At 36.0% G+C, this 14,179-nt stretch overlaps 1 protein-coding gene across 9 annotated transcripts in view; it reads left to right on the top strand.

The window, feature by feature from the left end:
• BBS7 (Bardet-Biedl syndrome 7) overlaps positions 1–14,179 on the top strand; it is a 46,146-nt gene that overhangs the window by 15,459 nt on the left and 16,508 nt on the right. For 5 of the 9 annotated variants that reach the window (XM_017008357.3, NM_176824.3, XM_047415889.1 and 2 more), the window contains exons 7-12: positions 196–312; positions 1,930–2,060; positions 6,088–6,172; positions 7,510–7,612; positions 9,320–9,512; positions 11,015–11,089. In XM_017008357.3, the coding sequence (XP_016863846.1) occupies positions 196–312; positions 1,930–2,060; positions 6,088–6,172; positions 7,510–7,612; positions 9,320–9,512; positions 11,015–11,089 (704 nt within the window). Of the gene's footprint in view, positions 1–192; positions 313–1,929; positions 2,061–6,087; positions 6,173–7,509; positions 7,613–9,319; positions 9,513–11,014; positions 11,090–14,179 lie in introns of all 9 variants that reach the window. The other 4 variants (XM_047415890.1, XM_005263106.5, XM_011532081.4 and 1 more) reach the window with 1 other exon arrangement.

Here is a 14,179-nt window from a genome sequence, read left to right as displayed (position 1 = left end):
AAAATTATATAATGGGGAAATGTCTTATCTCTTATAGCTATAAAATTGTGTGAATATATAACCATTCTCAACAATTAAGTTTTATATCTTTTTATAGTACTTTTTAAAATGATATTTTTACATAACAACATTTTAATTTTAAAGAGATTACTAATTGTAGGATAAATATAATATGTTGACTTTAATTATAAGTAGGTGACTCTGGAGAAGACCTTTTGTTTGGGACATCAGACGGAAAACTTGCGCTTATACAGATTACTACATCCAAACCAGTACGCAAGTGGGAAATTCAAAATGAGAAAAAGAGAGGAGGTATGCTTTTCATGTAGTTCAGATTCTGAGGTGTCAATGATTATTAAGTATCTTAAATTATATAATTTATTCTATTTTATCTATTTATACTACATAGCAGACTTAGCAATTCACACCTTGATTTATCTACTATTTGTTTATTTGTCAGGTCTATTATACTATTGGCATAATTTTTTAAAAGTAAGAAATGCTGATAGTAATTTGGTATTGATACGTTTTTATAGGCTAATATCATTTTATGCTAAAATCCAATTTTAATTGGATTTTAATTGTCTGAGGTAATTTAGTTGTTTGAGGTACAGAATTAATTGGAATCTGGGAGTCTTTGTTATGAGGCAAAGAAGAAGTGCAGTGGGTCAGAGAATATTCCTGTTTTCTAAGGAATTTATACCTTTCTAAGGAGAATTTATAACTGATTAGGTAGATAGTGAGATGCCTATGTATATGTTCAGGATGTTCATATATTCATTTATTCCTTCAACAAATACTTATTAGGAGAGACAGAGTAAAAACAAATAAATACATAAGACAGCTTTACCTAGTCACCTGAAGAAAATAAAACAGGGCTGTGTATTAGAGAGTGATGGTAGAAGGAGGAGGGTCACTTTTAGACCACGTAGTCAAAGATAGCCTCTTAGAAGAGGTGAAATTTGAACTGAGATCTGATTGATAAGAAAAAGAGTTAGCAATATGAAGATTTGGGGAAAAAAATGTTTCAGGAAGAGGAAAAAGTAAGTGTGAAAGATTTGAGGTGGAGGTAGATTTGATTCATTTGAGGAACAGTAGGAAGGTCAGTCAGTTTGGCTAAATGCGTTAACATGGCAGGAGATGGAGTCAGAGAGGTAGAGTAGAGCCAAATTGTGTAAGCCTTGGAAAACAGTTTGAATTTTAATCTAGGTGCTGTAGGAAGTCATTAGAAAATTGTCAGTGGGAGTGTGACACTTAATTTACTAAGCCTAAACAAAACAAAGGACACTGGAGAATGGATTGGAGGGGGCGGGGGGCAACAGGTCAAAACTGGAAGCATGGAGACCAGTTAGAAGAGTTATTATAATTTATTCTAGTCTAGGCTAGCTTAGTCTAGGCTATCAGTAGCTGGAAACATAGACAATTTCAGTATATATTGTGGAGGTAGAGAAGATGGAATTTGCTAGCAGTTTTGATATGAGGGGTGGTGAGAAAAAGAAAGAAATCAGATGTGGCCCAGAATTTTTGTCTGAGCAGCTAGGTAGAATAATTTATGGAGATGGGGGAAGACAGAGGGAGGAGCAGTATTGAGGGGGTATGGTAAAGAGGGGAATAAAGAGTTTTGTTTGGGGTATGGAAAGTTTTAGATGCAGATGTCTGTGAGAAGATACCAAATTGAATATATAAGTCTGGAGCTTTGGCCAGAGCTGGAGGGAGATATAAATGTAGGGGCCGTTCTCACACAGATTATATTTAAAGACCTGGAAATAGATGAATGTGGATGGACAAGAGAAGAGCACTTGATTTTGGTCAAAGTTTTTTTGCTCACCATTCTGAGTCGGTATGTGTGTTTTTTTCATTCTTACTTGGCATATACTTGACCATAACTATTAGTCTTCTTAATAACTTATCACATATCTCTTTTTAAAGGTATTTTGTGTATTGACAGCTTTGACATTGTGGGTGATGGGGTTAAAGATTTACTTGTTGGGAGAGATGACGGAATGGTGGAAGTGTATAGTTTTGATAATGCAAATGAACCTGTTCTACGATTTGATCAGGTAAGTTCATTAAAAAAGACTATATGCTTATTATTTGTCAAATTATTATAGAGATGACAGATGGTTTGAATTTTATTAAGTGAAAATATATTAAAATCTTGTGTTTGGTTTAAAATATTGCTATTTTGATGTTATCAGAATCTTCTCTAGACTTCTCTTGTGTTTGAATAATAGACTCTTGCCTTTAAGCAGGATAACAAATTACTTTTTCATTATACTTTAAAATATTATTATAAGTCTCTAAAGTATTAAATATTTTGCCTTAGTTTATAACATATAATGACACTTTATGGGAGTAATATTTATATGTTTGGTTAATATAAGTAAGTCTGTTGTTTTAAAATAATAAGATTTTAGGAATAAACTTCATATTGTTAGGACAGTATCAGAAATAACCTTAAGCAAAATGAAAAAAGTAGCAGTTTCACTCCTACCCACTCAAGGGCTGCCTGTATTAGAAGAAATACTAGATAAAAGTAATTTTAATTCACAAATTTTAAATGTAATTAAACTCATTTATGCCAAGCTATAAAGTTACATAGAGAAGCATTCTGGCATAAATTGAATCTTTAATTTTCATGAACTAGTGTTCACCAATCCAGGGCTTCCCTATCCTGCCTAATATAGGACACACTGAGGCTATTAAACTTAAAGAAAAAAAAGAGTTCACAACTCAGTGTCAACTGAGTCTAATTTTTGGTCTAATTTATCTACTAGTGGTACCTCTCAATCCTAACTTTAACTGCAGTTCAGAAAATACAAGTGGTTTGAAGCACAGGTAAAGTATATCATTTAGAAAATATAGGGATAAAAATGTTACACAGTTGAGTTTATTTTATAGATTGGTTTCAAATTTGTTCATCTTGTTTTGGTGTAAAAAGTCATCCTGCTAATGATGCAGGTAATAGTTTAGGCTTAGAAATAATAATCCATTGTTGATGATCTCCTGCTTTTTCTCATCAGCCCTTTGAGAAACTTTCCTATTCAGACCCCAAGTCTCCTCTTTGACTTTTATTCCAAACCCCAGAAATGTCATAGCATTTACCTGTTCTGCCAGGTCTGGCACTAAGAAATCCTATCCTCTTCCTATTTCTTCTGTCTAATGACAGAGGTCCTGCTTTCAGGTTATGCTTAGGTTGGGAATACTCTGCCTCATCTTGGATTCACATCGTCACTTTCTATGTTGCTTTTCTAATCAGGAGAAGACGTACTGTCTGACACAGTCTGGACTGGTAGATGGTTGATTAATCAAAAAAGGTAGTTAAGGGGTGAATCATAAAAAGAGAAAATATGTATACTTTAAACATTGCATTTTAACTTAAACTTGTATATTCATTTGCCAATATTTTGAGGAAGGACCAAGTTCTTTTTTTTGTAAGTTTAGTTCCATGTTTTCTTACATAAAACTTATCCATACTATATTGCCCAGGATCTCTAATTTCATGGTTATAGGATCATTTCTTTCTTTCTTTCTTCCTTTCTCCCTTTCTTCCCTTTCTTTTCCCCTCCCTCCCTCCCTTCCCTCCTTCCCTCCTTCCCTCCTTCCTTCCTTTTTTCCTTTCTTTTTTTTTTTTTTCCTGCTCCTTGCAGAACAGGGCTACCCCATAGGCAGTGTGCAGAGTAGCCCCGATTTTTTTATATAAGTACATAAGATAAATGAATTTCATTAAAATGTTCTATTAGCAAAAAAGGGTATAGAAATGAACAGTTAGGAAATGAACAGTTTGTAAAAAATTTTTGTAATGTTTTCCAAGTATATTGCATTAAATATACTCTTTAAAGTTGTAATTAATAGTTCCCTGATAAACCACTCAGAAAGTGAGAATGTGCGTGTTTCTATTGGATAAGTAAAACATTCTTCTGCAAGTCAGGTGATTTCCAGTGTTTTGTGTTCAGTAAATTAAAGGAAGATCTAATCAATCTCTCAGATCAATAATAAACAATTTTTTGAAGACTTTATTATACACAACAACTGGACACTTGTTAAAAATGCGGATATTTGACCCCACCTGTAAATCTAACTTTATGTGATTTATTATAATCAAACCTTTGTTACTTGAATTTTCAGGTAATTAGCCTCAGGAACAACTATCATAGCCTAATTTGCAGGATAGCTCAGAGGTTTGCCCCCATAGGGTAGGTGAAGAGTACTAGAATTTTGTTGATTGTCCGGTTTAATGCTAGTGTCCCTTCCTTCCACTCCCTCCTTTAAAACAAAAGTTCTCAGCCTTGCCTGCTAAGAACTACCTACCAGAGTTTTTCAAACTGCTAGTCAAAACCAATTAGTGTGTTGCCAGTGCCGTTTTTAAAAAACAAAATAGAATAGATTAGAACATATCAGAGTATGACACAAATCTTTTAAGTTAGATACATTGCTGTATATGTTTATGTGTGAATGTATACCAGATTGTAATATAAAATTTATATTGCTTGCTTTCCAAATAGCTTGAAAGCCGCTTACCTAGAGTGTTAGTTAAAAACACAGTTTCTGGCCTGGCACAGTGGCTCACACCTGTAATCCCAGCACTTTGGGAGGCCAAGGCAGGAGGTTTGCTTGAGCCCAGGAGTTCAACACCAGCCTGGGCAACAGAGGGAGACCCCATCTCTGCAAAAAATTTAAAAAATTAGCTAGGCATGGTGGTGTACACCTGTAGTCCCAGCTACTTGGAAGGCCAAGGTGGGAGGGTCACTTGAACCTGTGAGGTCCAGGCTGCAGTGAGCCATGATCATGCACTGCATTCCAGCCTGGGCAACAGATCAATGTCCTGTCTAAAAAAAAAACCAAACAAAAACAAAAAACCAGCTCCCTACAATTATTTTAAAAGAAATAAATAAATAAAAAAAAATACAGATTCCTAGTTGAGTTACCTAAGTGGTTGTCAGACAAGTTTGGAAAGTACTGCTTAAAAGATGGTTATTATAAACCCTGAGTCATCTGAAAAAACTTGGTTTCTCTCCACAATAGCAGATTTCCTAAAGATTCCATATAGGTTACCATATTCTTTCTTTATCTAAAAAACTATTTTGAGAATACACATAAGAGATGGTGTATGGAATTCAGATAATAGACTAAACTTAACGGGGTATTTTGCTTTTTGCTTTATGTAATTTTTTTTTATTTTTATTTTTTAGACAGTCTCGCTCTGTCGCCAGACTGGAGTACAGTGGGACGATCTCAGCTCACTGCAACCTCCGCCTTCCGGGTCGAAGTGATTCTCTTGCCTCAGTCTCCCGAGTAGCTGGGAGTACAGGCACGCGCCACCACGCCCGGCTAATTTTTTTTGTATTTTTAGTAGAGATGGGGTTTCACCATGTTGGACAGGACGGTCTCAATCTCTTCACCTCGTGATCCGCCCACCTCGGCTTCCCAAAGTGCTGGGATTACAGGTGTGAGCCACCGCGCCCAGCCTTGCTTATGTAAGTTTTTAAAAAACCTTTCTTTATAAAAATAAACTGGCGGGGCGCTGTGGTTCACGCCTATAATCCTAGCAGTTTGGGAGGCCAAGGTGGCAGATTGCTTGAGCCCACGATTTGAAGACCAGCCTGGAAAACATGGCAACACCCCATGTCTACAAAAAAATACAAAAATTAGCCCAGCGTTGTGGCGCGCACCTCTGGTCCCAGCTACTCTGGGGCCTAAGGAGGGAGGATCGTTTGAGCCCAGGAGGTCAAGGCTGCAGTGAGCTGTGATTGCACCACTGCTCTCCAGCCTGGGTGACGGAGGGAGACTTTGTCTCTAAATAAATAAATAAACTATTTTTGCTCATTAGGTGAGTATATCGTTAGCTGAGTGGTACCCACAAATATACTAGGGTCGTTTTGAATCTTCTTTCCCAAATTTAAAAACACTGAAGTTTCCTGCCATTTGTTCAAGATATTTTGTCTTTCTAATCTGAGTGTCTGCACATAAACATTCAGTAAATATATGTTGAATGTCTGGAGCCAGGGAAAACGTTGTGTGGCTTATTTTAATATATCTGTGGATTTTTTAGTTACTAATGAAGTGCTTGGTCTTAAACTTTTTTAGATGTTGTCTGAAAGCGTCACATCTATCCAGGGTGGTTGTGTAGGAAAAGACAGCTATGATGAAATCGTGGTGTCCACATATTCAGGTAAAGTAAATGATAATAGGTAATTGAAGAAAGAGTCAACAACAAAAAAAATTAAATTTAATAAACTGCTTTTGATGACTCTTTTTAAAAAACAGTTATAGTAGTCCCCCCTTATTCATGGGGAATCCATTCCAAGACCCCCAGTGGAAGCCTCAAACCTCAAATAGTGCTGAACTCTATATATATTATATTTTTTCCTATACCTACATGCCTATGATAAAATTTAACTTATAAATTAGGCATAGTAAAAGATTAACAATAACGAATAATAAAATAGAGCAATTATAACAATATGCTTACATCACTACTCTTGTGCTTTCGGGTCCTTATTAAATAAAGTGAGGTTACTTGAACATAAGCACTGTGATACTACAACAGTTGATCTGATAACTGATTTGGCTTCTAAGTGAACAGTAGATAGGCTGGTAGCAGGTATCATATACAGCAGGTGATATGTTGGACAAAGGGATGATTCACATCATGGGCAGAATGGAGCAGGATGGCATGAGATTTTATCACCCTATTCAGAATGTTGTACAATTTAAAACTTAGGACTTATTTCTGGAATTTTCCATTTAATATGTTCAGCCTACCATTGACTATGGGTTACTAAAATGTAGAAAGTGGAATCGTGGATAAGGGGAGGCTGCTGTATTAGTCAATCACTCTTACTTACAGCATTAAAAACTTTATGGTTAAAAAATAAGGAGAAAATGTAGGCTTCTTGATTTATAAAATAGTTGATATTTGAATAATACTTTTTAAGAGTGTTTAGCATGTCACTCTTACCTTTAAGTATTAAATTATATTCTTTGATTTAAAGAGAAGTACTTATTGAGATTTATTTTATGTTTTGGACTATGTACATGTCTTATAAAAACTTTTTTTTTGAGACAGGGTCTCAAAAACTTGCCAAAACTTGCTTTTGAGTTGGTAATTTTTGCATTCTCATAGTAGTCATGTGAGAGTTTAAATTTCCATGAAAGTAATTTTTAAAAGGCAATTCTTATTTTTCAGCTATTTTTGAAATTGCTAGACTATGTTGACTTATTCCATACTTTAAATCTGTTAAGTAAAAGATTCCCTTCATTATAGTATTACAGTATTTCAGGCAAAAAAAAAATGATATCGTGAAATGCTTAAGTAATTTCTCTGTAGTCTGAATATTTTCCAGCTTGATTTTATGTTTTGTTTTTGAATGAAGTCCTAGGGTTAAGTTAGGCTGATATTGGTGGACAAAGGGGCATGTACATTGGAGTTTCTGCTATACAATGCATAATTTATCTTTTTAACACTAGCAGTACTAAGTGGTGCGTGATTGTAATTCATCTCTACAGGCTGGGTTACAGGTCTGACAACAGAGCCCATTCATAAGGAAAGTGGACCAGGAGAAGAACTAAAAATTAATCAGGAGATGCAGAATAAAATTTCTTCCTTACGGTAACTTTGAGTTTTTTATTTGCTTTTTTAAAAATCTCATGAAGTGTGTGGTTGTTGCTTTTTATTACTTATAGATGCAGTATATTTTATTGGAAGGAATTATGTAATTAATTAGTTTATCACCTTTTAAAATGGAAGTTTACAGTTTCGAGAAAATTAGCGTAAGTGCTGATTAATATTTTGGAGATAGAAATATACTTTTTTGTGTGCCTTATTCTATATTGACATTTTCTTAGGTCAAGGGTTGTGTTTTTCTTTTTTGTGTGTGTGTGTCATAGACACTTGTGTTTTATTTTTTATTTTTCACAGACATTAGAAATCAACACAGATGGCTGTATTATTTCTCATTAACTCTAACGTTTGCTGTTCCTGTGGACCCTTCTGAATCTGTAATGTTGGCTTGTAAATTTTCTTAACCGGAACTGAGTAATTTTGACTCCCCTAGACACAGGAATTGCTTTTATGGTCTGCTCAATTTGACGTGTGCTGTGAAAAGGGGGACCTCAAACTCCAATAAAGGTGCTTCATACAACGAAGACGTGGGAGTTGCTGAAACTTTTAATGACTGCTCTCCCCATTTCAACCCATGCTGACCTTTTGTGGAGTGAAGGATGATTTTTTTCTGGTGGTAGTTGAAGGCTACAGAAACTTTTAAGGCAGCAAATGCCACAAGTACTAGTAGCACAAGCCGTTTCACCAAAGCCACCAGAGAGCAAACTGTAATGTTCATGCAAACAAGTATACCAGATTCATTCAGGATATCCTACTTCATGCAACAAGGATACAAGTATAGTTAATGACTACTCTCTCACATCCTCAATACATTACCTTTTTTTTATAACCAAGTCTACCATTTCTTGATTCCACTGGAATGTAAGCTTTATGAGAAACTTATATCTGATTTGTTCATTTGATACCCAAACACTGCTAGGTACATAGGAGTAAATATGTAATATTTAGCAGTAAATATTTCTTTGATGAATGAATCTTTTCCTTTGTTCATTACACAGATCCCTTCTAAGCTCCTCCCTAGACTTTTCCTCCTAAACTGTGGCTAGTTAAGCCTCATGTTGTTCTATCCCAATGACTGTTTACTCCATTTGCATGTGGCCCTTCCCCTTAACTGGAGCTCTAAGCAATGCTGTAGTTCAGTCTCAGCAGAATCCTCTCTAACTCTTGGTAGTTAAGCCATACCACTGGCTCATGATCATCCTTGTGGTCCCCAAAATGCTAATGCTCTGCAGCTTCCTTTTTATTTTTTATGTCTCCCCTAATGTCTTACTGAAAGTTACGTGTTTACTGGCTTCACACATTTTGTCTCTTTTCATTAAGACTAATATGTTCTGCAATATTAGTTTCTCTTCTCATTAGTATAAGAAGTTTCTCTTCTGATTAGTACTTTATGTAACTGTAACAAGATTCCTGTGTTAAGATTATTTTGTAGCCTACCATGATATTTAAAACTCTCTATTAATATTGCTAGTATGGGAATGAGTAGATATTTTAATTTTGGGGTTAAGGATAAATAATGTGGAATCATTTAGTCAGTCATAGAAGCAAAAATTTTGCTCCCTTTGTTTTTATTTTATTAACTCAACCAATAAAAACCCATTTTGTAAAAGCAAATGTCTCAAATTTTTGTAAACATCCTAACGACCTCAAATGTTTATACTTATATTTGACAAATTTGTATGTGTTTTTCTCCAGGAATGAGTTGGAACATTTGCAGTATAAGGTATTGCAGGAAAGAGAGAATTATCAACAGTCTTCTCAATCAAGCAAAGCAAAATCAGCAGTACCTTCCTTTGGTATAAATGATAAATTTACACTAAATAAAGATGATGCCAGTTACAGCCTTATCTTAGAGGTACAGACTGCAATAGATAATGTCTTAATACAGGTAAGCAAAATGTCTAATTTCTTAGTTTTATGACTGGATCTATTTTGCAAACCAGTCATATGTACTAATTATTATTGAACATTTTTAGTTTTAGACAGTAATTTTATTTTATTTTTATTTTTATTTTTATTTTTTTGAGACAGAGTTTTACTCTGTCACCTAGACTGGAGTGCAGTGGTGCGATCTCAGCTCACTGTAACCTCCGACTCCCAGGTTCAAGTGATTCTCCTGCCTCAGCCTCCCGAGTAGCTGGGACTACAGGTATGTGCCACCACACCTGGCTAATTTTGTATTTTTAGTAGAGACGGGGTTTCACCATGTTGGCCAGGCTGGTCTTGAACTCCTGACCTCTGGTGATCCACCCGCCTCGGCCTCACAAAGTGCTGGGATTGCAAGCGTGAACCACCCCACCCAGTCATAGACAGTAATTTTAAATGTTTATGGCCTTTTATTCTTCCTTTAGATAATTGGTTTGCTCACAGATTATTTGAATTATATTTTTACTTTTTATTTATGTACTTAACAAACAAAAGATGGGCTTCAGTTTTAAGAAGAGTTAGAAAAGACAGTAAGGTTTTTCTTCTTTGGCTACCCTCTGGGAGAATCTTAACAGAGATGTGACTTAGAAAACTACCATATTTAATGCCCTTGCTAGAACATTTTTTTTTAAAGCCCCAAACATTAAAGTACAGCTTGCTCATTAACCCAACAGTTTCTGGTAGGTCAACAGGCAAAGTAGAGAATACTAAAGGGTGAAATTTAGGGATAATAATATATGACTCCATTCATCAATGTATATATTTACTGACTTATTTAAATTAGAAGGTATTCAGGAAGTAGAAAAGAATAATAGGATGAATAGAAAACAAACAAAAGGTAGTAAACCAATCACAAAATGAGAACATAACAAATTGGAGGAAGAAAAGGTTTAAAAAGATGTAATGGAGAGATCAGATTATTAAAAAAAAAACCTAAAGGCAGAAAACTCTCTTAAGTAATGCTAGCTCACGGGCTGTTGCATTGAACAACTCTAGGAATGCCATTCACATAGGACAGTGCAACAGCTTTGTCCTACAAACTGCCTCTCCAGAGGAGACCAAAAATTATCTTCTTTCTGTGTTACAGGTAAAATTAAAACTGATAAAAATGAACTGATACAATCAGAATGGCCATGTGATTATTTATAGCTCATGGTAACATTTTTAGCACTTTATAAAAATAAGTGGGATGATTGGACTTTTAAGGGGGTGGTGAGAGATGTTATTCTGTGATTTTTATAATCCAAGTTAGAAAAAAGCAGGTGATTGTAAAATAACATTTATTCTTTATTATATTTATTTTCTGGAAGTATATACTATCAAGTATAAGTTAAGAGAATTCATACTCTCAAATTTAAAGATGAATATAAACTAGAACTAAGGAGAACTCTTAGAGAAAACATAATTTATGAACATTTTTAGGTTTTCCATCTCAACCTTCTTTTTTTTTAATATTGACTATAGAGTGATGTTCCAATAGATTTACTTGATGTGGATAAAAATTCTGCTGTTGTTAGCTTTAGCAGCTGTGATTCTGAGGTGAGTAAAAATATAAAAGAATTCTTCACATGCTTTCATTTCTATTATGCCATTTTGATTAAAGTCTATAGATGCTGCTAGGTTTTGATGTTTCTTTTTCAATTATTTCTTATGTAACCTTTCCTTCAAAATCTGTGTCGGTTCTCTTTCCCTGTCCTCAGTCGAGAAACCTGATGTCCTAGATTCCTTCTTTTCTGTGATCTGTTACAGGTTGATATCCCTTATGTGAAATGCTTGGGACCAAGAAGTATTTTGGATTTTGGATTTTTTTCAGGTTTTGGAATATTTGTTTTGTATTTACTGGTTCAGCACCCCAAATTTGAAAATCTGAAATCTGAAATGCTCCAATGAGCGTTTCCTTAAAGTATTATCTTGGCACTCAAAAAGTTTAGAGTTTTGGAACATTTTAGATACTCAGTTTGGGAATGTTCAGCCTATATATCCAATTAGTCACTAGTTTCTGTCAGTTCTACCTCCATGGCTTTCATACTTCCACTTGGCTTCATTCCTACCCCTGTTAACTTAGTCCAGGCCCTTATCATGTCTTGCTTGAACTACTTTATAAGTTTCTCTGCCTCTAGTCTTGCCTCTGACTTCTAGGATATGCTGTATGTACACTACCACCAGAGACGTCTTCCTTCCTAAAACACGAACATCACTGTATCTTTCTTTTCTCAAAACCTTTTCAATATTCCTGATTTCCTGCTAGATATAAATATAGATTCCTTATTGTGGCATAGAAAACTTTCCATGATTCAGCTCTTGATTACATCTCTAACTTCTCTCTCACCGGCTGCTACCACCCCTCCCATGCACATTATTTCTGCCAAACTGAAGTTCTTAAAATTCCTGAAAATGCTATATAGTTTCACACATCCCTGCATTGGAACATGATCTGTTGCTTCCCCCGCTCTTCCTGCCCTGCCCCACTTTTTCTAGGCTTGTTGAATGCATACTAAACTTCATTCAACAGACTTTTATTGAGCACTTAACGTGCACAGTACCTGAGATGATCACGTCAGTGCTTTTGGACATGCTTACTGTATCACTTCTTTCTGCTTAGTACTAGCCGATAAGCAGTCTCAGAGCTAGGTGTGACTCCTGAAGAGAAGTCAAGGTATAGATAAGGTTTGGATTAATTGCATTGTAGAAGGCAAGCCAGAGCAGGAGGAGATGGTAACTGGAGTTGGTGGTTAGTTATATTAATATATATTTTATTTTATTTATATGCATTGGCACTGTTGCAGAATATATTTTATTTATTTGGTTTTTGTTATTTATTTACTTTTTTAAGACATGGTCTCGCTCTGTTGCCCAGGCTGGAGTGCAGTGGCGTGATCATGGCTCGCTGCAGCCTCGACCTCCTTGGCTCAAGCAGATCCTCCCACCTCAGCCTTCCAAGTAGCTGGGACTACAGGCACAAGCCACCATGCCTGGCTGATTTTTAAATTTTTTGTAGAGACAGGGTCTTCCTATGTTGCCCAGGCTGGTCTCAAACTCCTGGGCCTAAGTGATCCTCCCACCTCAGCCTCCCAAAGTGCTGGGATTATAAGCATGAGCCACCACGTCTGGCCTTATATATATATTTTTAAAAAGGAGGAATAAAAGAGTAGATAAAGTAAAATATTGATAGATAAAAGAATAATTTTCTTTTTCTTTTTTTTTTTTTTTTTTTGAGATGGAGTCTCACTCCTCACCCAGGCTGGAGTGCAGTGGCACAATCTCAGCTCACTGCAACCTCCGCCTCCCAGGTTCAAGCAATTCTCCTGTCTCAAGACTCCCAAGTAGCTGGGACTACACGCACACGCCACCACACCCGGCTAATTTTTGTATTTTTAGTAGAGATGGGTTTTTGCCATGTTGGTCAGGCTAGTCTTGAACTCCTGACCTCAGGTGATCCACTGGCCTTGGCCTCCCAAAGTGCTGGGATTACAGGTGTGAGCCACTGTGCCCAGCCTGTTTTTCAATATAACTTCATAGTAAAAATTTTATTTTTAATAAGCGATTTTATAACAGTTGTATTATATTATCAATATGTGGTTTGTCGTTCCTGTTTGAGAACAAAACACAAAAGATATGGCCTACATTTTTATGATTATTTAGAAAATCAGTAAACTTAAAACAAACTTAAAATCTTTGATTCTTAAGTTACTATGAAAGATTAATCTGTTTTAATTACATCACTGAAGGATTCTTTGAAATGACTATTTGATACTAATTTAAAATATATTTTCTAGGACAATGGCTTTAAAAAAACGTATGGAGGTTTCAAGTATACACAAAAGTAGAAAGACTAGTATAATAACTTGCATGTACCCATCACTAATTTTCAACATATGGTTAGTCTTTTTTTTTTTTAAAAGATGGGGGTCTTACTGTGTCACCCAGGCTGGAGTGCAGTGGCGTGATCATAGCTTATTGCAGCCTGAAACTTCTGGGCTTAAGCTTATCTTCTTGTCTCAGTCTCCTGAGTACGTAGGACCATAGGCATATGCCATGATGCCCAGCTAATTTTTTTTATTTTTTATTTTTTGTAGAAATGGGGCCTCACTTTGTTGCCCAGGCTGGTCTTGAACTCCTAGCTTCAAGCTGTCCTTCCACCTTCCAGCCTCCCAAAGTGCTGGGATTACAGGTGTGAGCCACCATGCCCAGCCCAGTCATTTTTTCATGCTCTTCACCCTCTCCTTCCCACTCCCAAACCTCATCCCAAACATGTTATCTGTATCATTTATTGATAAACACTGTAGTATATAACGTTTGCTTTTAATCATACAAGAACACATTTACGGCTTGGCACCGTGGCTCATACGTGTAATCCCAGCACTTTGGGAGCCCAAGGCAGGTGGATCACTTGAGGCCAGGAATTCAAGACCAGCCTGGCCAACATGGTAAAACACCCTCTTTACTAAAAATACATAACAAGTAGCTGGGTGTGGTGGCATGCACCTGTAGTCCCAGCTATTTGGGAGGCTGAGGTATGAGAGTCAGTTGAGCCCAGGAGGCAGAGGTTACATTGAGCTGAGATCACACCACTGCACTCTAGCCTGGGCAACACAGCAAGACTCTGTCTCAAAAAAAAAAAAAAAGAAT

This window comes from Homo sapiens, chromosome 4 (genome assembly GCF_000001405.40).
Source record: "Homo sapiens chromosome 4, GRCh38.p14 Primary Assembly".
NCBI classification, from domain to species: Eukaryota; Metazoa; Chordata; class Mammalia; order Primates; family Hominidae; genus Homo; species Homo sapiens.
The sequence above is the reverse complement of the archived record's forward strand: the minus strand, read 5'-3'. Positions and strand labels throughout refer to the sequence as shown.